General features: G+C 42.8%; 1 protein-coding gene across 15 annotated transcripts in view, besides 2 other annotated features; it reads right to left on the bottom strand.

The window, feature by feature from the left end:
• Positions 1-17,558, bottom strand: part of TARBP1 (tRNA guanosine 2 -O-methyltransferase TARBP1) — an 87,867-nt gene extending 70,309 nt beyond the window's left edge. For 13 of the 15 annotated variants that reach the window (XR_007063103.1, XR_949157.3, XM_047429060.1 and 10 more), the window contains exons 1-6: positions 16,552-17,558; positions 11,093-11,190; positions 9,567-9,636; positions 5,881-6,029; positions 4,035-4,087; positions 2,216-2,313 (exon numbers count right to left, since the gene is read on the bottom strand). Coding sequence is in view for 13 of the 15 variants with exons in the window: in XM_047429060.1 (XP_047285016.1) it covers positions 2,216-2,313; positions 4,035-4,087; positions 5,881-6,029; positions 9,567-9,636; positions 11,093-11,190; positions 16,552-17,482 (1,399 nt within the window). In the remaining 2 variants the exon portion in view is untranslated. Of the gene's footprint in view, positions 1-2,215; positions 2,314-4,034; positions 4,088-5,880; positions 6,030-9,566; positions 9,637-11,092; positions 11,191-16,551 lie in introns of those variants that run through there. The other 2 variants (XM_047429080.1, XM_047429091.1) reach the window with 1 other exon arrangement.
• Positions 16,655-17,454: a silencer, noted in NCBI's record as "silent region_1970". NCBI's record gives its function as "represses an Ori minimal core promoter by ATAC-STARR-seq in GM12878 lymphoblastoid cells {active_cell/tissue: GM12878}" and the evidence as "EXISTENCE:reporter gene assay evidence [ECO:0000049][PMID:35858748]".
• Positions 17,485-17,674: a silencer, noted in NCBI's record as "silent region_1971". NCBI's record gives its function as "represses an Ori minimal core promoter by ATAC-STARR-seq in GM12878 lymphoblastoid cells {active_cell/tissue: GM12878}" and the evidence as "EXISTENCE:reporter gene assay evidence [ECO:0000049][PMID:35858748]".

Genomic DNA, 25,126 nt, shown 5'->3' on the forward strand with positions numbered 1-25,126 from the left:
TGTTTATGATTAGAAGCCATTCTTCTATTTGAGATGTGAAGGAAAAACAGGATAGGAAGTATTGATGGTTAGTGGCCTCTAGTATATGCAAACAGTAACATCTTTCTCATAGGCTGTTTCTTGACTACCTTGGATTTAATTACGATTATTTATATTTCTATTTTGAGATACAAAGGGATAGTGCTTCATTCTGTCCTCTCTGCTAATCTGTGATTTCTTAAGGACCCTCATCTCATGTAGTTAGTGAAAATGTCTGTTTTCTCACATAGTTGTAGAATGACTTTCAAGAAATCCTCAGAAGCTACTAAAAGGATATTACGCGGACTTTGTGTCTTTTGAAATACCTAGCACAAAAGACATTCAGAACACCCAGAAGATATTCACTGGAAACTGGTGACTGAAAAATGACTAAATAACTGTGAATGAATGTTTTAATTGCTCTTTTTGAACTCCTGGCCTCAATTTTTCTTTCTTCCATTTGCACTAACTAAATTCAGTAAATCCCATCTTTTGCCTAACGCTTCACTCATGACACTAGGAAGATGGCAATGGCCAAGTTTCTATTTCACATCGATTCAACATATTTACCAAGCATCTGTGATATGCCTGGTCCTGGATCACAAACACCTGGCTCTCAAATTCTAGGAAGCCCTGACCGACATCACTTCACTCACGTGTGCTACTGACATGTAAGGCAGCAATGCGGCTGACAAATTCATCCCCATATGGCTGCAGCCCAGATGCTTAATTAAACTCCTGAAATCTACCAAACTAAAGAATGACTCTAGGCTGTGTGTGGTGGCTCACGCCTGTAATCCCAGCATTTTGGGAGGCCGAGGTGGGCAGATCACGAGGTCAAAACATCGAGACCATACTGGCCAACACGGTGAAACCCTGTCTCTACTAAGAATACAAAAATTAGCTGGGCGTGGTGGCGCATGCCTGTAGTCCCAGCTACTCGGGAGGCTGAGGCAGGAGAATCACTTGAACCCGGGAGGCGGAGGTTGCAGTGAGCTGAGATCGCACCACTGCACTCCAGCCTAATGACAGAGCAAGACTTCATCTCAAAAAAAAAAAAAAAAAAAGAATGACTCTAACAGTTATCTTCCCCATCTTCCCCATTAACACATTTTTTTAAAGAAAAAGTAATCAAAACAATCAATTTTCTATAAATTTAAAGTCATGATATACAGACCATATTTTCCCTTTTTTCTGACGTTTGAATAGACATTACCATTGGCCATCTTGTCATCCTATTTGCCAGATTAAATACAAAAGAAAAAAATACGTATTTCATACCTAGGCTCACTTTACAAATCACAAAGGTGGGAGTAACACAAGGACTCACAAAGCAGAGTAGGTCCTGCTGCTGCTCAGCAAACAAAAATCACAGTGCTTTTGTGCTGTGCTTTCCAACCTACCTCATTAGAATGAACACTACATCTCCAACCTGAAGATGGGGGATGGTTCTAGGACAAGGTCTTACATAAAACAAGTGTTTTTTTGTTTTTTTTGTTTTTTTGAGACAGTCTTGCTCTGTCACCCAGGCTAGAGTATAGTGGCACAATCTTGGCTCACTGCAACCACTGCCTCTTGGGTTCAAGTGATTCTCCTGCCTCAGCCTCCCAAGTAGCTGGGACTACAGGTACACACCATCATGCCCGGATAATTTTTGTATTTTTAGTGGAGACAGAGTTTCGCTGTGTTGGCCAGGTTGGTCTCGAACTCCTGACCTCAGGTGATCTGTCTGCCTCGGCCTCCCAAAGTGCTGGGATTCCAGGCGGGAGCCATTGCACCTGGCTTATTTTTTCTTTCTTATCTTTCTAAGTTAATATCTATAAAGGGACAACTTGCCACAATGAGTATTCTGTTTACAACTTTTTCCTAAAACCAAGTTCCGTATTTCTCAAATATATTTTACCAATTCTTGAAACTGAATAGTAGACAATTAGAAACGATGGCTAAACTGCAGCACACCTTCTAAAATTACCTCCATGCTACTCATGCCAATACTGGTAGTATGTCATACACAATGACTAAAGTGTGTACTCAAAAAAGATACTGTATAATTCTGAGAAAATATGCATATCCTGGAAAAGGAAACCATTTTGAAAATATTTATTATAATAGTTGATGGTGCTTATAACCAATTTGCTAAAAAAAAAAGAAACTGTAAGCTAAAGCATTTTTAAAAAAACCCTTTACTGACACATACTCTTTATTTCTTCTGGAAGAAGAGAAATATAAGTGACTAAAAACTTCTGTAATTTCAGTCCCAATGGAGAACAGCTTCCTATTGGCTGGCCTGGGGACCTACAAACAGAGAGTGGGGAAAACAAATATTTAACATTTATTTACAAGTGATTACACTAAAACTAGCCTAAATGGACCATGGCCCAAAAGTCTTTCAACAATAAAACAATCAGACAGTTTTATTTTTCTGAACCTGCATTTCATTTTTCAGTAAAATTCTGAGAATTTTTCTGATTACAGAAACATCAGGAACTTGTAGGAAAATGGACATGAGTTAATAACCTACTTTACTAAGGATTTCCTTTTTGTGACTTTCCCTTCCACATATATGAATCTTGCTAAACAGTATCATAAAAAATAAGAGGCTGAAATGATAATTTTAAATTATATTTTATTGTTCCCAACATGTAATCCAATGACTTTAAATTTTTAGGTCTAAAACAAAAGAAGTAACATTCATAGCAAAGACATATATTAGTAATAAATTACTTTTGCAAGAGTATTTAATTGTTAACATCTACTAAAGTCACATTTTTTCTGCTATATGCTTCTTCCAGGAACATTATCTGCTAATTGAACACATTAGAGTGCTAGAAAACTGAAGGCATTTCATAATAAATGTGTTTGTCAACTCTTAGAAAACACCAAGATCTTTTCATTGGTTTTACTGCTCTCCAGCTGTCTAATTGCTTCAGAAAACTATTCAGTAGTAATGAGTTATTTGAAAACTAAAAATAATTGGCAAATCAAGTGTTGCTATGCTCTTTCAATATTATTAAACAGGACTAAATATTAATATAACGTGGCAGAGACTAATTAAAAATGTTTCAAGAAATTGGCTGGTGGGGGGAGGTAGTTCTGTTTAGAGGGCATACTGAACAGCAAGACACAACTATAAATTTAGTTAATATTAGAAAGATAACACAATTTCAAGAGCAAGGGAAATTTTTGAAGACAGAATTCAAGAGTCATAAATGATGCTCAAAAAAATGAGGCTAAGGTACAATCCTGACAAACTTCTCACTGTCAACCTTTTCAAAACTTTAACTGTGGCCTATAAGTAGAGACAGGATGAATAACAGCAGCCACTGTCAGATACGGAAAGGAAAAGGTTAGAATGAACCTTGCAGTACTGAACTAAAACTGGACGTCCTGGTGTGAATTCACGGTTCTTAATATGGATGGATGGATGAACGGATGGATGGATGGATGGATGGATGGATGGATGGCGGACAGACAGGCACTCAAACAGATATAAATGAGTAAGTCTGGTCAGTAGACAAAGCTAAGAAAGATGCGCACACAGGGAGAGGCAACGATCAAGCAAATGCAGTAAAACCTTAACATTCAGGGAATATGGGTGAAAGGGAAATGAGAATTCTTTGGATTATTCTCAAGACTTTTCTGTAAGTGTAAAACTAAGTTAAAAGAAAAAGGAAAATAAGTTTAAAGTGTTGGTTAGTCAAAATCATTACAACTTCCAAGAGAGCAGGAAGCAGCAGTAGGGAGAAGAAAGTGTGCTGTAGAAGACATAGTTTCCAACAGCCCAAGAATAGAGCAGCTCAAGGCAGAAAAAGGAAACAAGAAAAAACAAAGGAGAAACACTTGATGCAAATCAGAATGCAAGAAGAATAACAGATAGAAAAAGGACCACATGATAAGAAAAACTCAACTGTCTATTCAGCAACATACTGTATGTGCCAAATGCATGAAACAATCTGGTCATGTCTCTTAACATGAAATGTATGTATCAAATACTTCATAACATAATGTCTCTTTACCTGCTATACAGAGAGCTCTCTGAAAGCGCATCCATTAATGGTCCAATAATAAACTAAAAAAAAAAAAAAAAAAAGACACGTAATTGAAACTTAGTTGTAAATACAATTTTGAAGTCAGTTTCCCTGATTGAACATCCTACACAGGCTTACAGAAGACCTGCTATAAGCAAAGCTGATCTCTTACGCTGCAGGCTAAATTTAGTGCTGGTCCTGGAGGGGAAGCTTAATTCTACCAGAAAAACAAAGTAAGTACAGAATTTTCCCACCTGATTAAAATTTATGCCATACTAAAAAGAGAGTTCATGTGTTGGGTCAAGAAAGAAGGAAGGAAGCCAAAGAAGAAACATATGCTAGAAAATAAAGGTAATGACAGGAAAACCAAAAAGATACTCAAGAGAAAATTTAAGCCCCTATGCCTAGAGGATAAAGAGGAAAAAAATTATACTCAAAAATTACTATTAGATACTGGTCAGAAAAGCAAGCTTACATGAAGTGCAGAAATAATAGAATGTAGAAACATGATGCATATCAATATACCACAGCATATATTAAAATAATTAGAAAAAACTGACTTAGGCTGGTGCAGTGGCTCCCACCTATAATCCCAGCACTTTGGGAGGCTGAGGTGGGCAGATCCCTTGAGGCCAGGATTTTGAGACCAGCCTGGCCAACATGGCAAAACCCTGTCTCTACTAAAATTACAAAACTGAGCCAGGCATGGTGGCGTGCACCTGTAGTCCCAGCTACTTGGGAGGCTGAGGCATAAGAATCCCTTAAATCTGGGAGGCAGAGGTTGCAGTGAGCTGAGATCACGATACTGCACTCCAGCCTCGGCAACAGAGTGAGACTCTGTCTCAAAAACAAAAAAATTATATCACTATCTGAGAAATATATTCAATCATTCTTTTAAAAAAGAAGAAGAAGAAGCCAGGCACAGTGGTTCACACCTGTAATCCCAGCACTTTGGGAGGCCAAGGCAGGTGGATCACTTGAGGCCAGGAGTTCGAGACCAGCCCAGCCAAGATGGTGGAACCCCATCTCCACTAAAAATACAAAAATTAGCCAGGTGTGGTGGCACCCACCTGTAATCCCAGCTACTCAGGAGGCTGAGGCAGGGGGATCACTTGAACCTGGGAAGCGGAGGTTGCACTGAGCCGAGATCATGCCACTGCACTCCAGCCTGGGTGACAGGCATGAGACACCATCTCGAAAAAAAAACAGCTATTGAAAGAAAAAGAAGAAAAAAATTGACTTAGGTCACCTCTAAATGAGAGGTAGATTACTCTACCTAAGGAAGTCATCATGGGACTCACATGACACCATAATATAAAACTTAAAATCACAGCTATAACTCCCACTGTCTCTGCCTCACGTAGTTCCTGACAAATGGAAGTACAGATTCTAATAAATATTGCTTAGAAGGCAATCCCTATTTCATATAGTAGACAACAGCAATTCATTGAGTCAGAATTGAGGCAGTAGCATCACTAAACAAATAACAGTCATCAGTGGCTCAGAACGGTGACAACAGCATCACCTGATAGCTTCTATACCAGTTTTCATATAGTGAAAACTTGACTTATGCTTACGATTCTTGACTTAACGCTGTTCTGAATATCGATAATATACAACTACTTTTTCACAATGGTAATAATACAGGCAGTTCTACCGTTGGGCTTGTTGAGAAACAACATAAGCTTTTTCCAAATAGGAAAGCTGGGTTTAGAGAAATATGATTTGTTGGATGCAAATCTCCAAAATGTTACTTGCTGATACAGAATCCTAGTGTATTTTTACCTCTCGCCTTTCAACAATGGGAGCAAGGAAGGGGACAGGGTGTCATTACCTCAGAAAATTCTGGTGAAAATGGAAGAATCTTTGTTTCATACAGCTCCAAAAAATGGATAACACCTTCTTTGGACAGGATTTTGTTTTCACTTTCAAACATTCTTTTATAAATACACATATGCCAGGATGGGTGAAAGAGCCAACATCCTGTGGAAACAAACATCAAATGTTGACATCTGATTCTGTCTTCATTTCACCATCAAGACTACATACTCATAAATAATGTACAAACACACACAATAACTTCATTATAACACTACAAGAAGTTTTTGTTACTGTTTTTTGAGAGACAGGTTCTCACTGTGTCACCCAGACTGCAGTGCAATTGCAAAATTCTAGCTCACTGCAGCCTCAAACTCCAGGGCTCAAGCGATCCTCCTGCCTCAGCTTCCTGAGTAGTTTCCTAGCAGGACTACAGGTATGCAAACCACGCCTAGACAATTTTTAAAATATTTTTTAGAAACATGGTCTCAGAATGTTGCCTAGGTTGGTCTCAAACTCCTGAGTTCAAGTGATCCTCCATCCTCGGCCTGCCAAAGCACTGGGATTACAGGTATGAGCCACCGCACCCAGACTGTTTTTAGTCACATCTGAGTATGTCAACCAAAAAAATTTTGGTATTCAGTATTCCGTATTCAGGCAGCTTAATTTTGAAAGACTGTAAATGGGCCAGGCATGGTGGCTCATGCCTGTAATCCAAGCACTTTGGGAGGCCGAGGCAGATGGATCACATGAGGCCAGGAGTTTGAGACCAGCCTGGCCAACATGGCAAAACTCCATCTCTACTAAAAAACACAGAAATCAGCCAGGCATGGTGGTGTATGCCTGTAATCCCAGCTACTGGTGGGGGAGGGACTGAGACACGAGAATCGCTTGAACCCTTGAACTTGGGAGGCGGAGGTTAGAGTGAGCCCAGGCCCCGCCACTGCACTCCAGCTTGGGCAACAGAGTGAGACTCTGTCTTGAAAAAATAAGAAAGACTGTAAACGAATGCTGTAACTGCTACAGTGTACAAAAATTAAATATTACCCCATGCATGCAGGTTGGAACTTCAGATTTGGAATAGTTTCAACCAATTCTTCTCTTATCCCACTTCAATCCATTTTTCACACAGAAATATGAAATTGTCACGCCTCTGCTTAAAATCCTTCAACATCTCCTCATTGTTCTTAGAATAAAGTCCAAACAAGGCATGAACTGACCTTGACTGCCACTCCAACCTCATCCCCCACTCCACACACCAACTCTGCTGCAGCCCTGCTGGTCCTTCTGTTCTGCCTCCTACAGCTGCTCCCATCTCAGGGCTTGTGTCCCAGGTGGTGCCTTCTCAGCCTGGACTCTTAGCTTAGATGTCATCATAAGACAGGCCTTCCCTGACTACCCCACTCACCCTTGAGTCCATTTCATCAGCCCCTTGTCTGTTCCCCTCATATATCTTACAATCAAAACTATTTTTTCATGGAAAACACAAAAGTCAGGTGAAAAATACCACATCTCTCTCACCATTTTACCCCCAATAATTACTAGGTTGGTGCGAAAGTCGTTGCGGTTTTTGCCTTTTTTTTTTTTTTTTTAAAAAAAAAAAAAAGGCAAAAACCGCAACGACTTTCGCACCAACCTAATAGCATGTACTGGACACTAAGTAAATATTTATTCAGTAAATATATAAATGAGTGAGCAAATCAAAACCATGGAATAAATAAATATCTTAGAGATATTTTTCTAACTCTTTTGAAATATCTTTTACTTCTATTAGAGAAAAATACTCAGCATTTTTAACTCATGACATTCTATAAATAAATTAATCCATTATTTGTAATTTACACCAAGATGCTTGTTCAACTCTTTGGCAATGGTAATTTTTCAAAATCAGTCACTGCTATTTGATTTGGTTTCTCAAGAGCTGTGGGCAAAATGTGGTAATAAGAGCATCATTTTAATGGTAAATGAATAAGTGAAGTCACAACAAGATTCAATTAAATTCTAGCCCCAGGTGCAACTACAGATGCTTATGGTCTGTGAAAAATCCCAGTGTATCAGAAAACAACTACAGCAATCAGCTGAATAAAGCTCAATTCCTAAGGGGTCAAACTATTAAACTGTAATTATCTAGAGTAGGCACTAAAAACCATTTACCTAGGTTAATTCTCATGTGTAAACACAATAATGTGGCATTTTATCATTCATATGAACACAGGCCAAAACACTATTGGGCTGCATTTAGCTATTTCATTAAACTTAATTTTATAAAATACATTTAGGAAGCTCCAGCTTCATTGTGTATCTCCTAAAAAGCTCTCATAATATAGTGATCAAGGGCTTATAAACACATTTGAAATTATATCCCGGAATTTTCTCTTCCTAAGAAGTACAAGATACAGAACAATAACTGAAAACTTAAGAAACACTGGAAAAGATATACTAAGAGAATAAGAATGGAAACCAGTTAAAAAGATATATTCATACCAAAGAGTGATTATTGGCCAGGCACGGTGGCTCACACCTGTAATCCCAGCACTTTGGGAGGCTGAGGCAGGTGGATCACCTGAGGTTAGGAGTTTGAGACCAGCCTGGCCAACGTGGCAAAACCCCGTCTCTACTAAAAATACAAAAATTAGCCAGGTGTGGTGGCGCATGCCTGTAATCTCAGCTGCTTGGGAGGCCGAGGCAAAAAAATTGCCTGAACCCGGGAAGCAGAGGTTGCAGTGAGCCGAGATCATCCCACTGCACTCCAGCCTGGGCAACAGATTGCAAGACTCCACATCTCAAAAACAAAAAAAAAGAGCAATTATTAAAACCACAGACTATGTCATCATTGAAACCCTATCGACGAGTCCTTATCTTTTAAAGAAATGTGCTGAAATATTCACAGATAAAATGATAGGATATCTAGGGATGTGCTTCAAAACCATTTAGCAAGAAGGGAACAGGGAAGGCTACATAGGATACACTAAGCAAGGCTGGCCGTGAGACGATCGTTATTAAAGAGGGTGGTAGGTGCGTCACACACACTCTTCTCATTCTATAAATGTTTGAAATTCTCCATCATCAACGGTTTAAAAAATTAACCTTATCTCTTAATTGTAGAAAATTCTGTGGCTATTTTAAATTGTGTTCTTTTTTTTTTTTTTGAGACGGAGTCTTGCTCTGTCACCAGCCTGGAGTGCAGCAGTGTGATCTTGGCTCACTGCAACCTCCGCCTCCTGGATTCGAGTGATTCTCTTGCCTCAGCCTCTCGAGTAGCTGGGACTACAGGCACACACCACCATGCCTGGCTAATTTTTGTATTTTTAGTAGAGACGGAGTTTCACTATGTTGGCCAGGCTGGTCTTGAACTCCTGACCTCAGGTGATCCGCCCACCTCTGCCTCCCAAAGTGCTGGGATTACAGGCATAAGCCACCACGCCTGGCCCAAAATTGTGCTCTTAAAGACGATTTAAGGATATGAGTAGATGCATATAGTTATTATGCTAAGTGAGATAAACATGAACAACATGATCCAGAAGGTGTGTATCTGGAATGGTAACAACTGTTATCTCTTGGTGGCAGCATTACAAGATGATTATATTTTCTTCTGTACACTTTTATAGTTTTTCAAAATTCTCTACAATGAACAGGAATTAGTTACAAAATCAGGGGAAAACCATAAATGTTATTAAAAAATAAAATAAAAGTAATCGTTACCATTTTCCTCTGACACCGCATATTCAAACAGATTGTTTAGCTTTGGTAAAACTGGCTTTATAACATGTATCTAAAAATAAGAGCAAAAAAATCATATGAAATGAAAATGCATCTTGAAAAATGTCAGGCAATTTTCATCTCTTTATTTCACAGTAGCTCTTCTGTTTCTACAAAACATATGTAGAAAGAGCCTGATTTATCCAGTTTTTCAAACAATAGTATGATTCAGGTATGTAAGACTGAGTATGGCAAAGCTAATGAATATAACCACATTACAGCTACATTAAAGTCTACCATTTATACAGTGATTATCATAAATCATGTCATAGAATCCTCAACTGTCCTGGCAGGCAGGTAGGACTGCCAATACTAAGATATTACAAAGAGAAAAAAGACACTGAAATGTTTTCTCTAGTCACTCAAGTTGTTCATGGCTGCACACGCTTAGAACGGCCAGTTCGGAGTTCCATGTTCTTAATACCACATAGCCAAAGTTGCTGACACGTTTGCTTGAGATTAATTTACATATCCTTCAAAATATGGATAAATTTGGGTTTCTAAATAAATAATGGGGGTTTTATGGATCTACTGATTAAAGAAAACCATAAAAGTTAATTTGAATTTAGAAATGCTTTTTCTTTACTCCTCATCCTTGCATCTATATATATTTAGCACATATAAGTAATTATTTAAGTCCACAAACAAGGTTTGGTGCACATTTGGATTGACACCTCACAATGACTCCACAGATGGCTGGCACCTCTGTGGTCCCCAACTTGCAGAATGGAAACCATGGTTCTCAAAGTGTAGTTCCCAGAACAGCAGCATACATATCACCTGGGAACTTGTAAAAAACTCAAAAGTCCTGGACGGGTGCGGTGGCTCACGCCTGTAATCCCAGCACTTTGGGAGGCCAAGGCGGGTGGATTACTTGAGGTCAGGAGTGCAAGACCAGCCTGGCCAACATGGTGGAACCCCATCTCTACTAAAAATACAAAAATTAGCCAGTGTCGTGGCTGTAGTCCCAGCTACTTGGGAGGCTGAGGCAGGAGAATCACTTGAACCCAGGAGGCGGATGTTGCAGTGAGCTGAGATCGTGCCACTGAACCCCAGCCTGGGCGAGAGAGCAAGACTCTGTCTCCAAAAAAAAAAAAAAAAAAAAAAAAAAAACTCAAAAGTCCCAGGCCCCACCCCGACCTACTGAACCAGAAAGTCTGAGGACAGGGCATGGCAATTTATACTTTATAATAAGCCATTTGGGTGATACTGATACTGATAAACGTTAAAGTTTTAGAATGGCAAGGGAAGATCAAATTTTTGAATAATTTGTCAACTGAAAGTATTCTTTAACTTCCTGAAACAACTTACACTCTAAGTTGCATTTATGCCAGACAACAAAGTATACTTGGATTCTATCATCACCAGCTATATCTGAGTTAGTCTCTTTGTATCGCTTTTAATGAATGTTTTTAAAAAAGAAAAATTGTTATCTACTGTAGGATTTGCTAAAATAGAAAAACACTTACCTGATTTCCTTCTAAAGTCTCCATAATTAAAATATAATTTTCCCAAAACTTTAGAAGCTCATCTTTTTTCCTCTCAGACCACCAAAACAGACTTGGGCCTGATATGGTTTAAAAAAGAAAATTAGTTCTTCCTTTTGCAAATTTCATAAGTTTCTCAATGACAGCAGTTCTTAAAATAATGCCACTATTACCAAATGGATTCTCTAATAATGGAGGTGCCCCTGTATCAGAGCCTGGATAGGGGGCTTGGGAATCTCAGAGGGAGATTTTTTTTTGCACTAAGATTACTGTTTTGGAGTTCTGGGTAAAAATGGCAGATTTGCACATATAAACTCTACTTTCTCTCCCTAAGAATCTCACTATAACAGTAAAGGATTTTTCAAGGGCAAAACCCCAAAAGAATGGAGAACACTGGGGGCAGACAACAGCAATAAAATACAGAATCTGAAAATCAGATGAAAACCAAGTTGACTCAAGTCATGAGAATTTTAAGTTGACAAAGGGAAAGCCAGGAAACAATTTGATTTATGCTGCAAAATCCCCCGGAACCAAAGGAAGTGGCTGCAAAAGTTACTCTGGTAAGTGGAGTGAAAAGTGAGGCTAAACCAAAGAGGATGTGTTCAGTGTTTAAGAAACAGTCACATCCCCAGGCCACTTTCCTATGTCCTGAACAGGAAAAGACTAGAACTGCTTTTCTGGAGAAGGTAAAATAGTGCGTCTCTGAATTGGGAGGCACAGGACACAGCAGACATTAGTCCTACTGACAAAGGGGATTCAGCGAACATGTGTGCACCCTGGGTGCTGCGACTCCTCTCTACCTGCCCCCTCAGGTCCTAGAATGCTGGCCAGGCCCTCACTATGCATCAGACAACTGGAAGATGTTCTCTGCAGAATCTGGCCAGCCCAGGAGGAAAGATCTGAAAATATATCAGAGATTCCTTAATGAAATGGCTTGGCCAAATCACCTTATGGTGAAGTTCAGTCAACAGCACCACTCATGGGCTTAGAGCTTTAAACCCAATTTTGATTTCTTATCCTTAAACATAAATAGGGATCTAAGAATCATCAGACAGTTGGGGAAACCTCTACACTAAAGATCAAGACCAAAACAAATGGAGTGGGAGGAGGAAATTGGAGAAAACAAAATTACACAGGTAGAAGAAAACTTTTAAAAGAGTTTTCAGCAATATCTTAAGAAGATAGTAGTATTATAAGAACAGGATATTATTAAAAAGGGGACATTCTGACCAGGCTTGGTGGCTCATGCCTGTAATCCCAACACTTTGGGAGGCTGAGGCAGGAGGATTGCTTGAGGCCAGGAGCTTGAGACCAGCCTGGTACAACATAGCAAGACCCTGTCTCTACAAGGAAATTTAAAAAATTATCAGGGCATGGTGGTGCACACCTATCGTCCCAGCTTCTCTGGAGGCTGAGATGAGAGGATCACTTGAGCCCAGTATTTTGAAGTTATAGTGAGCTATAATCACGCCACTGCACCCTAGCCTGGGCAAGAGCGAGGATTTGTCTCTAAAACACACACACACACACACACACACACACACACACACACACACAAAGGGGACATTTAAAAAAAAAAACTCAATCCAAAATCATAGAAAATCCTTAGGAGAGAAAAGATGCTTTCAAGAAAGTCCAGGAAGTTCAATATCTAAAAAAAGAACAGAAAACAGAAAGGGACGAAATAATCCACAGAATATTCTAGAAAATTTCCCAGAACTGAAGAACATGATTTCCAGATTGCACAGGAGGTCCAGCAAGTGCCCAGCACAAGGATGAAAATAGACTCCTATCAAAACTGTGAAATTTCAGAATGCTAGAGCCACTGATCCTACACACTTCCATAGAGAGAAACAGTTCCTGTATAAATAAACAGGATTCAGAATGGTTTCAGATTTCTCAACAGCAATACTGGAAGCTCTAGCTTCTGGGACAATAGATAGATACCTTTAAAATTTTGAATGGAAATATCTTCCAGGCTCGAATTCTACCCTCAGTCAAACCATCAATGAAATATGAGGACAAAATAAAGGCATTTAGATATGTATCGTTTCAGTTGCTCATTAGGACATAGAAAACCATAGGAGATCGTTATTGTCATACAAAGAGGAAAGGCTGAAAAATCTACAAAATCCTAAACTGTTGTGCGGTGGGTGGGGGGAGCATCAGAACTGAGGTCACAATGCAACCTGAATTCTAAAAGGAAGGAAGGCGCTCCAAGAATGGAAAGGCCACTTATCTGTTCTACTTCTGGCACAGGAGCAAGACATGGTCACCCAAAAAGCAGTTTTAAAAATGGCATTTTGACAAGTTTTTAAAGACCAAGGTGGGCTAGCCTCACAGCTTGCTGAGGGAGTCCACATCCATTCACCAGCTCTTTTCTTCAAGCCTGCCCCGGTGCTCTCGAGAGAGACTGTGGCCAGGGCAGGAGATCTTCAGAGGCGCAGGCACCCAGGGCAGCAGGACTAACTAGAGAGGCCCAGCCATGCCCTGCAGGAGTACAAGATGGTGATCAACTGCCAAAACGTGCCTGTCCCCCTGGACCCTTCTCCGACAGGAAGCCAAAGCTGTCTGCCCCTCCCACACTCTCACCCTTGTCCCTGCCTTGATACAAGCAAAAGTTGCCTGCCTCTAGGGCAGGGATAGAACCTGCTCCCTTCACTCGGCACTGACACTAGGCGAATGCATCTTATTCTGTGGAAGGGGAAGCAAACCCCCTACTGCCAGATATCCTGCACTGATACAAAGCTGGTCTGCAGGTGCTGGAGGAGGGCAGGACGCTACACCCAAGACCTACCACAGACACTCACGCAGAATGCAGCTGCCACAGGTTAGGGCCAGGAACCTAAACGCACCCCTAAGTTGGAGGCAACGATTATTGCCACTGGAGAGGGAGCACAGACAGCGAAAGAGCAGGAATGCTGACGCTCAGACACATGGGGCCTAAATACAAGGCTGCAGTGGAAGAAATGAAAAGCCCCTGCCTCATCTCTTGCACCAGGGAACAAGCATCAGCAGTCTACCCCTGAGGGAGGGACGAAGCCTTGGCTGAAGACCTCCATCGGTGGCACAGGCCTCCCAGGCTGGAGAAAAACCTTTCGAGACTCCAGGCTTCAGCTAAGCAAGTAGCCACAAAATCTGGGAAAAGTTTGTAAAGTGCACTGAAAACAAATACAGCAACCAACGCCAAACCCAGCTCAACTACAAACTAGACTAACTCAATGCCACAAAGTAACGGTGCCTATCCCAGGCAGAAATATTTACTTCCATCTCTACTGTTATTATAGTAAGACATAAAAAAAAGCGACTCCATAGCCAAACACTACAACAGAAAACAAAGCCAAACTTAGATGGTCCAGGTATCGAACTTGCAGATAACTATAATTGATATGCTAAAGGATCTTGTGGAAAAGGTAAACAATATGCATAAACAGATGAGCAGATGGGGATTTTCAGGAGAGAAACTCCAAAAGCGTCAAATGGAAATGAGAGAAAAACATGATGGCAGACATAAAGGAGCATTTGATGGAATTATCAGACAAACAAGACCTTAAAAAAATCCTATTTCAGGAAACTGCTAGAGAATGCACTGCACTGACACAAGTGAGTAAAGCAAAAAAGAGGAAGATATGAACTACAGGAAATGAGACTCAACAGAACACCCAGGTGAAGGGAATCCCGGGGTAAGCGTGAGGTCTGTGCACCAGGCACAGGGAGAAACCTGCGACATCTGGGCATGTAAGGGGACTCTGGGAGAAACTTCTTCAGGAAAACCTCTGATGATCTGATTTTGTAGAGGAAAGATTTAGTCAACTGGTTAAGAATTTAAGGAGGAATTCGTGGTAAGTATAGAAAGAACCGAACACATTTTAAAACGTCAAAATCATATGAAAAACTTGCAGGAAGAGAAAAATGATCAGTTTCCTACATAGATCACCTGCAAGCAGCATTTACAGTCATAATTTTATAAATGCTGAACACACATTTAACCAAAATTTTAACTGTGACAATATATTTTATGATATAACTAAGATATACTATGTCAAGACATAGGGGTAAATCCCCTAATATTCCGTTAAGAGGCCACAGGATTTGCTTTCTGTAACAGAGGAAATGGGAGTTGCAGGAAGCATGGAAGCACCATTGCTTATCCCTAAAACTGCAAAATAACTGGCCGAGCGCGGTGGCTCACGCCTGTAATCCCAGCGCTTTGGGAGGCCAAGGCGGGCAGATCACCTGAGGTGAGGAGTTTGAGGCCAGCCTGACCAACACGGTGAAACCCCGTCTCTATTAAAAATACAAAATTAGTGGGGCATGGTGGCGCATGCCTGTAATCCCAGCTACTCTGGAGGCTGAGGCAGGAGAACCGCTTGAACCCGGGAAGTGCAGGTTGCGGTGAGCGGAGATTGTGCCATTGCATTCCAGCCTGGGCAACAAGACCGAAACTCCATAAAACAAACAAACAAACAAACAAAACTGCAAAATAACAGACTCATGTAAATAAATGAATGTTTTAATTTTTGATGATTTAAAAAATGTTTTCCAGTGAAAACTCTCAGGGATGATCACACCTATCTGTGGACTGTTCAAATATTTACTCTCTAATGTTTTAAAATTACTTGAAAATATAACCTCATAACTTCAGCCAAACAAAAATCCTTTACCTGTAATAAATGGTCAGCTACCGTTGAAAAAGTAGAAATATTCTATTGAGACAATTTTGAGTCAATCTACTTTGTACTTGACAGTTTAAACCCAAATTTAACATGAGTGAAGTCAAACCAATCAACAGTAACGTAACAACTTGAAGGGAGGCCTTGCTGTTTCATTACTCTTGCACATAGTAGGGAGCAAAGCTCAAACAGTTAAAAAATAAAATCTGATTCATTCTATTAAATCAATGGCAAAAATACACTCAAAAGGTCGACTTAAGAAACATGTTTAACAAATATTAGTAAATCCTGTTCCTAATTACCAGGGGAAATTTCAGAAGAGTGTGATGGCCTCTATGACGCTTAATTCTAACACTCAACACTCAATTCACTAATTCACTGGTCAGTACAGATAAATAACAAATAATTTTTCTTTCAACTTGATAGATATCAACCGTTTCTATTGGGTTGAATCTACCATGATATAGTGCAGATTTGGGTCTGTAAAATCTTGCACGGGCTCCATTATCTTCCTAAACTATTCCAGGGGTGCTGTATTCCACCGGCTCTGGGTTAGAACGTTCCCAACCGCAGTGATTTGTGACTTCAAAGAACACCCTCGAGAAGGGGTTCCAAAGGTTTTCAGGCTTTAGGGGAGCAACGCGGAATAACCAAATTCTGCATGGATCGGAGTGACGACCCCGATAAGCTAGTTTTTAGAAGCAGGAAGACTCCCCTCTGGGGCAGCCAAGTAGGTAGCACTAGGCTGGGGGGCAAAGAGGCAGGTACCGTTTCCTTCCTGGGGCCCGCAGGTGCAGTCGGCCCCCAGCTCCGCCGACACCTCCACCGCCCTCTGCAGCAGGTAGCGCGCTCGCTTGCGCGTCAGGGCGTCCGCCTGGCCCAGCCCCGCCTGCACCGTCCTCCAGAAGCGCCAGCAGCGCCGGGCGTCCGGGCCCGCCTCGCGCGCGCCGCGGGCGCGGTCGCCGCCGGGCTCGGGCAACAGCTTCTCGGCCAGGGCGCTCAGGACCAGCAGCTTCTCCTCTACGCGGCCGGACCCCAGGGACGCCCCAGGCGCGGCCAGCCCGCCCCACACGGCCCGCAGCGCCGCCCCGCCACATTGGACCAGCACTGGCAGCAGTCGCCCGGCCACCAGCGCCGCCGCGTCCTCGGCAGGCCCGGCCTCATCCCCGTCCCCGCCCCCGCCCAGCGCCAGGGCGACGGCGGTCCCCGCCACGCGCTCCAGTAGCGGCCCGTCCTCGCGGGGCCGCAAACATGGCCCGACGGCTGCTAGCACTTCCACGGCAGCCTCGGCGCCAGGCGCGCGCCACCCGGCGAGCAGATCGCGCAGCGCCTCCTCAGCCAGCGCGGCCGCCAGCTGCGGACGCCCGGCCAGGCGGACGCACGAGCGCAGGGCCGCGCCCGCCGCCCTCAGCACGCGCCGGCGGTGGCGAGGCTGCAGACTGGGGTCCGGGCCGCCCGCGGGGCGTCCGCGCAGGCTCCGCAGCAGTGGCACGAGGTACCCTGCAGCCACCTCGCGCGCCGCCTCCGGGAGCGCGCCTGCGCCCCCGCTGCCGCGCGCCTCCTCGTCCTCGAGCCGCTGCAGAAGGAAGCGCAGCGTCTCCACGCGCTCCGCGGATGCCTCCCCTTGGCACAGCGCCCCAAGCAGGGCCCGGGGGTCCCGGCTCTGCGAGAGCAGCGCTTCCGCGAGCACCCACTCCATTTGCCGAGCGCCCGCGCCACCGGCCCGGGCTCCCAAAGGAAGGCGCCGGCGTGTGCGATGCGTGCGCACAGGACCGGCCGGCCCCTACGTGCGCGTGCGCCGACGGAGCCGGGCGCGCGGCCGCAGAGAGGGGGATCCCAGCCCGGCTTGGTGCAGCTCAGCTTCCCTTGGGTTCCTGCCACCAACCCTGCCTAGATAGAACCCACCTGGTCTCTTATTTTTAGGAGAAACGAGGCCTTCGTTAAAAGTTAATGTAGTATCTACACCAGCTTCATCGATTCCTGATTGGAGGTTGGTCTGCCCAGGACCCTAAATCAGGCGTGCCTGTGAGCATAAACCAGTTCACAGAAGGTGCACAGCAGAATCACTTTAGATTATTTTCCAAACGTTGCATGATGGGCACCATCCACAAAGAGACTGACACAGTAGGTCTGAAATTGGTTCTGGACATCTGCATTAAAAATAAGTCATGAAAACACAAGAATGATTTAGACGTAAGGCCAGGAGTGAGAAGTGTTACCGGTGGAGGGTGTCCAGGTCCAAGAATTGGACAAAGCGCACAAACAAAGCAAAGACAGAATGAAGCCACAAAAGCAGAGATTTATTGCAAAAGTACACTCCACAGGGTGGGGGCAGACCCAAGCAAGCCGCTCAAGGGGGGCTGGTTACAGAATTTTCTGGGGTTTAAATACCTATAGAGGTTTCAATTGGTTACTTGGTGTACACACTATGTAACTGAAGAGGATAAAATGAAGTTACAAAGTTATTTACTTGGTGTACTCCCTATGTAAATGAAGAGGATATTTCCTGTCATAGCTGAAGTGTTTCTATCTGATTTGGTTCTAGGGAGTTTTTGGATTCCCTGCCTCCAGGCCCTATTCTCCTGCCTTAGAGGTACCTATAGCAATGTGCTAGGATTCAGCTAAAACCAAGATGCCCACGCCAGCCCTCACAGCCAAGTGCCCAAGATGACTCCAGGATGCAGAGCCTCCTGCACAATGCATGTGCTCCCATGTGCAAACTCAAAAATAGTCCCTGTGTCTGTCTTTTCTGTATTTCTGACAGCATCCATTGCTAAATAGAGAAACAGAAAACCTCACCTCGGCATGCATGGTGTGGATTTGGTTCCTGGCTCAATTTGAGACAAACTAGATCAGTGACATAGGGTTTTCTTCGCTACTAAACACAAAGATCTGCCTCTTAGTCAATAGAGAAAACAGGGTCCCAACTTCAAAGAGCTTGACATATAATAACATAATGGATAAGACAAAAATTAGTTATTTAAATTTACAGTTATTTTTATATAAAGTTATCTGACTTTAAGGTTATCTGACATTACACAGGCAAGACTTTTTTCATATTTCAGTCATTCCGTTTTTCATTGACAAAATGCATAAATGTTTCTATTTTAAGCCCTTTTAACATGTCAGTAAATATCAATTACCTTCAACATAAAATGTGCAGAAAACTATTGTTTCTGTCAACATATATCTAACAAATATAAATGGGTAAATGTCTTGAGCACTTAACAAACGAAGATACACAAATGATAAGCACTTGGAAAAGTGTTCAACATCATTAGTCATCAGAGAAATGCAAATTAAACCCACAATGAGGTACCACTTCATACTGATGAGAATGGCTAACATGTAAAAGCTCGAAAACACTAAACGGCAAAGACCAAGGGTGTGGAGCAACTGGAATTCTCATACATTACTGGTGGGCATGAAAACGGTACAGTCACTTTAGAAACTGTTTCTCGTAAAGTTATAATATAGCTGCTTTATGATTCAGCGATTTCACCCCCAGGTAATTACCTAAAATAAATGAAAACATGTTTCAAAAAAAAAAGCTTGCAGAAGAATGTTTTTGACAACATTATTCGTTATAGCCAAAAGCTTATAACAACCTAGTAGGTGTTAGGTAACAACCTACATGTGCATCAAATTGAAGAATGAATAAAAAATTGTGATCTATCTATATAATAATGCTCCCAGCAATAAGACAATGAATTGCTAATCCGCTTTACATGGATAAGTCTCAGAAACAATATGTTAAACAAAGGAAGCCAGTCACAACGTTTACATCCTCGTGATTTCATTTATATGAAATCCAAGAAGAGACAAAAGTAATCTGAAGGATAGAAATGAGAACAGTAGTTGCATATAGGGAGTAGAGATTTGACTAGAATTGGGCACAAGGGAACTTTCTGGGGTGATGAAAATATTTTATGTTGATCAGGGTGTTGTTACACATTTGTCAAGACTCCTTGAACTGAACCCTTAAGATCTATGCATTTCGCTCTGCAGAAAGTTTACCTCAATCAGCCGGGCGCAGTGGCTCACACCTGTAATCCCAGCACTTTGGGAGGCCGAGGCCGGTGGATCATGAGGTCAGGAGATTGAGACCATCCTGGCCAACATGGTGAAACCCCATCTCTACTGAAATACAAAAAAATTAGCTGGGCATGGTGGTGCACGCCTGTAATCCCAGCTACTCGGGAGGCTGAGGCAGGAGAATTGCTTGAACCCAGGAGGCAGAGGTTGCAGTGAGCCAAGATCACACCACTGCACTCCAGCCTGGAGACAGAGTGAGACTTGGTCTCAAAAAAAAAAAAAAGAAAGTTTACCTCAATCTTGAAAAATGACTTATACCAAAAAACAAAACAAAACAAAACAAAACAAAAAAACAAGTTGGCCTATGTGTTTTATTCTCTGTTGCCTTCAGAGTAAAGCCTAACTGCAGAGCACAGCATTGAAGGCTTATTGGGATTGGGGAAAAGCCAGCTGGCCTCACAGCCTGACTCCCCCTTCTCTGCCCCAGGTCAGGCATGTGGAACTCTCCTTCTTACCCACAACATGTTTGCACTGTCTTCTCTCCCGGAATATTTCCCGCAACACCACTTTTCTGATTCACCAATGTGGGCAGCGATTCCTAATTGCCAGAGCTGCCCTTTTTCGTTCTTACCTGAATGGACTCTGTGGAGTATTTCCTATTTCTTGAAACACTATCTCACTCTGGTTTTCATCGATGACTTTGTCCTGTTCTTTCTTTTCTCTGCTTCCTCAGCTGTTTCTTCTCCCTTTCTTTCAGCATCTTATTTTTCCTCCTGACCTGTCCATAGTGATATTTCCAGGGTTTTATCTTCAGGTCTCTCTTCTCCTCACTCTGTAAATTTTCTCTGAATAACTTCATTAACACTATAGATCTGATTACCATTTACATGCTAATGATGAAAAAGTCTGTATCTCCAGCCTAGGTCTCTCTCCTGAGACTTATCCTTAGGAGATAGCTCGAAACCTATTTCTCCAACTGCCTACCACACGTCTTCATTTGAATATTATTCAGGACATCATTCTCAGTCTCCACTTTTACAAATCTAACTTCATTCCCTTCATCCCTTCACCCAGCATCATTACTCCCCACCGATGTTCTTCTTCCCAGGAATTCCCTGTTTAGGGAAATGGCCATCATTCCCAAGTTGCCCAAGTCAAAAACCTGGGAACCAATACACTTCCTACTTGATTCTCACATGCAATCACTCCTCAAAGTTTCCATGCAACTTTCTAAATCTCTCGGTGATCCCTCCTCTCTGTGCCCCACTAATACCTTACTTAGTTTTAGACCCTCCTCATTTCTTGCCAAGATAATAGCAATCACCACCTACCCCACTCCCAGCTATATCACATTTAAGTAACGCTTATCGAGTGAATAGCCATCTCCTACTCCTTTATGAAGACCCAAATTTCAAGGCATCTCTCTAAGAAGCCATTCCTAGTGCCCCTGGTCGTGTAATACATACTCCGTATTGGTACTAGGATGATCTTCCTAAAATTACATCATTGGCTACCCAGAGCCCTCAGAATCATGGTTGAGTTTCTTAGCATATCATCCAAGATGCCTCAAGATGGAATGCCTGCCTAATTCTCCATCTTCACACTCCTGACAAGCCCCATTTACACCTTAATTTTGAAGTCCCTAAAACATGTGTGCTCTCACTTTTCTTTGTGTTTTTTCAAAAAAAGCCCTTCTCTCTTTTGGAAAGCACTTACCCCTTCTCCACCTGACTTTTTTTTTCTTTCAAGACAAAGTTCAAATGTTATCTCTCCAGAAAGTCATTTCTTAATACCTTTCTCCTGCTGCTAACACCCCAGTTAAATTAGGTGACCCTCTTTCAAATTCCCCAAACATCCTGGCATGTCACCAACACAGCAATGGTCACACTGTGTTGCAATTGCAGGTTATTTCTCTGCCCCCTACTCCTCCTCTCTAAGCAATTTGAGGGCTAGGCATGGGGTATGAGGTTTTGTCTGCTATTATACTCATGCCAGTACCTCATCTCAGACATAGCACACTTCAGTAAAGCTTTTTTTTTTTTGTAGATGGAGTCTCGCCCTGTCACCCAGGCTAGAGTGCAATGGCGCAATCTCAGCTCACTGCAACCTCTGCCTCCAGGGTTCAAGTGATTCTCCTGCCTCAGCCCCCAGTGCAGCTGGGATTACAGGCACCCACCACCACGCCCAGCTAATTTTTGTATTTTTAGTAGAGACGGAGTTTCTCCAGGTTTGCCAGGCTGGTCTCAAACTCCTGACCTCAGGAGATCCACCTGCCTCGCCCTCCCAAAGTGCTGGGATTACAGGCGTGAGCCACTGTGCCCAGCCCAGTAACACTGAGTGAATAGCCATCTCCTCCTCTATGAAGACCCAAATTTTAAGGCATCTCTCTAAGCAGCCATTCGTAATGCCCCTGGTCATAACTTACTTCTATTTCTGTATTCTCCAAACTTTTTTTTTTTTTTTTTGAGACGAAGTCTCACTCTGTTGCCCAAGCTACAGGACAGTGGCACGATCTCGGCTCACTGCAACCTCTGCCTCCCAGATTCAAGCAATTCTCCTGCCTCAGCCTCCTGAGTAGCTGGGATTACAGGTGTGCACAACCACACCCAGCTAATTTTTGTATTTTTAGTAGAGATGGGGTTTCACCATGTTGGCCAGGCTGGTCTTGAACTCCTGACTTCAAGTGATCCACCCACCTCAGCCTCCCAAAGTGTTATAGGTGTAAGCCACTGCGCCCAGCCTTCCTCAAACTTTTAATTGTAGTAATAATAATGGCTAATCGTTACCACACTTATTAAAGACCAGACATGGTAATATCTATCTGTATATATATTATTGCACTTCACCCTCAAAACAACTCATAAACGAAGTGTTTTTACTTTTCTTATTTTACAGATGAGGAAACTGAAAATAGGAGAGGTTGAGTTACTTGCCCTGATATTACAGGATGAAAAAAGCAGCAGAGCTGTCTGACTCAAAGGCTGTGGTATTTTCTGCAATACCTCCAAAACATCCAGAAAGAAAAATATACAATTGCCACGTCCAGTGTACTGCCTGTAGAAATTCTAGATCATAGATGTCTAGCACATAGTAGGTACTCAGTAAATTATGGTTGTATGAATGGATGGAGGTGTAGTTTCTGCAACTACTTATGTGCCCCTTAAGAACTGGGATTTTGGCTGGGCGCGGTGGCTCATGCTTGTAATCCCAGCACTTTGGGAAGCTGAGGTGGGTGGATCATTTGAGGTCAAGAGTTCGAGACCAGCCTGCCCAACATGGTGAAACCCCATCTCTACTAAAAGTACAAAAACTTAGCCAGGCATGGTGGCATGCGCCTGTAGTCCCAGCTACTCTGGAGGCTGAGGCAGGAGAATCCCTTGGACCTGGAGGCGGAGGTTGCAGTGAGCTGAGATTACCCCACTGCACTCCAGCCTGGGCGACAGAGTGAGACTCCATCTCAAAAAAAAAAAAAAAAAAAAAATACCCCCCCCCCGCAAAAAAATTGGGATTTGGTTTTAATTCATTTGTATACTAAATATCAACATTATTACCAGAAGCATGTTAGTTACTCAATAAGTACTTAACCTGGATGAATAAAAATTCAGCATTTTATAGTGATAGAATTCTAAGTTAATCAGCTGGAAAATTTCTAGTGACATAATTACCCTTGAAACATGAACATTTGCAAGCTGAAATCGTTGTGGCCTGGTTCAACATGAAACAATACGCAGCTTTGATACACAGAGGCGATCCAGCGTGTGAACAGCCAGCTACCCCTCCGCATCCTCATGGAGATGAATAGTTGCATTGGAAGCCATATGTGAATAGGATTTAGAATAGTTTTCTTTCCTCATTCCTTGCAATTTTCCTGCTTCATCCATAGATGAATTAGGGTCGTGACTGTTATTTTAACATCAAAAGCAGGTGTACTATGGATGAGTGTCTGAGTTTTCCTCCCTTTAAAGTAGTAGAGTTTAGTTACTTCAGTCTAGCTCACGTATCCCTTACACCAGGGGTCCCTAACCCCTGGGCCATGAACCGCTACCCCTCCGTGACCTGTTAGGAACCAGGCTGCACAGGAGAAGGTGAGCTGCAGGCGAGTGGGCATTATCACCTGAGCTCCGCCTCCTATCAAATCAGCAGCGGCCTTAGATTGTCTTACCACCTGAGCTCCGCCTCCTATCAAATCAGCAGCCACCCCCACCTTCCCGGCTCCATGGAAAAATTGTCTTCCACGAAACCTGGTCCCTGGTGCCAAAAAGGTTGAGGACTGCTGCCGTACACCCAAAGTCAGCCGCATCCTCTGTTTCCTCGGGCAACAAATATGTACAGTTTTTAAAAAGAGGCCTGTGCTCTGGGCACGGTGGCTCATGCCTGTAATCCCAGCACTTTGTGAGGCCGAGGCATGCGGATCACCTGAGGTCAGGAGTTCGAGATCAGCCTGACCAATATAATGAAACCCCGTCTCTACTAAAAATACAAAAATTAGCCGTTCATGGTGGCATGCACCTGTAATCCCAGCTACTCGGGAGGCTGAGACAGGAGACTCGCTTGAACCCAGGAGGCGGAGGTTGCAGGGAGCCAAGATCGCGCCATTGCACTTCAGCCTGGGCAACAAGAGCAAAACTCCGTCTCAAAAATAAAAATCAAATCAAATCAAATCAAATAAAAAAGAAGCCTGTGCTTTTGTCATCCTGGATGGGAACGTCCAGCAGGGGCCTCCGAGAAGTCATTTTCTGCCCTGAGATCCCTCCTCCACCTCTGCATCCCACAGCTCTGACTACACTGGTTCCAACAAACTTAGAATGTAGAGGTGTTATTGACTACACCTTATATTTTAAAACTCACCATAAGGTGTCTAAAAATGGCTTTTTATTTCCTTCTGATCTGAAATGGTGCACCTATAGATGTGATTGCTCTGCTGCATCTCTGACTTTAATTCTGACTCTTCTCACTTTCCCAACTTGAAATGGACACTGCTTCCTTCTTAGTAAGGGTAATGGAGAAAGGAGCAAGAGTAAAAGGGAAATAGAAAGCATAAGTCAGGGAAGCTGATCCAGATAAATGTTCTTTCAAATGTCTCCTTCCTTCACGAGTGTTTGCATGGGGCCAGCCATGGTGGCTCTTGCCTGTAATCCCAGCACTGTGAGGCAGAAGCAGGAAGATCCCTTGAGGCCAGGAATTTGAGGCCAGCCTGGGCAACATAGGGAGACCCTGTCTCTACCCCAAAAAAAGAAAGCTGGGTGTGGTGGTATGTGCCCGTAGTCCCAGCTACTTGGGAGCCTGAGGCAAAAGGATCACTTGAGCC

The sequence above is a fragment of the Homo sapiens genome, chromosome 1 (genome assembly GCF_000001405.40).
Source record: "Homo sapiens chromosome 1, GRCh38.p14 Primary Assembly".
In the NCBI taxonomy this organism is placed as follows: Eukaryota; Metazoa; Chordata; class Mammalia; order Primates; family Hominidae; genus Homo; species Homo sapiens.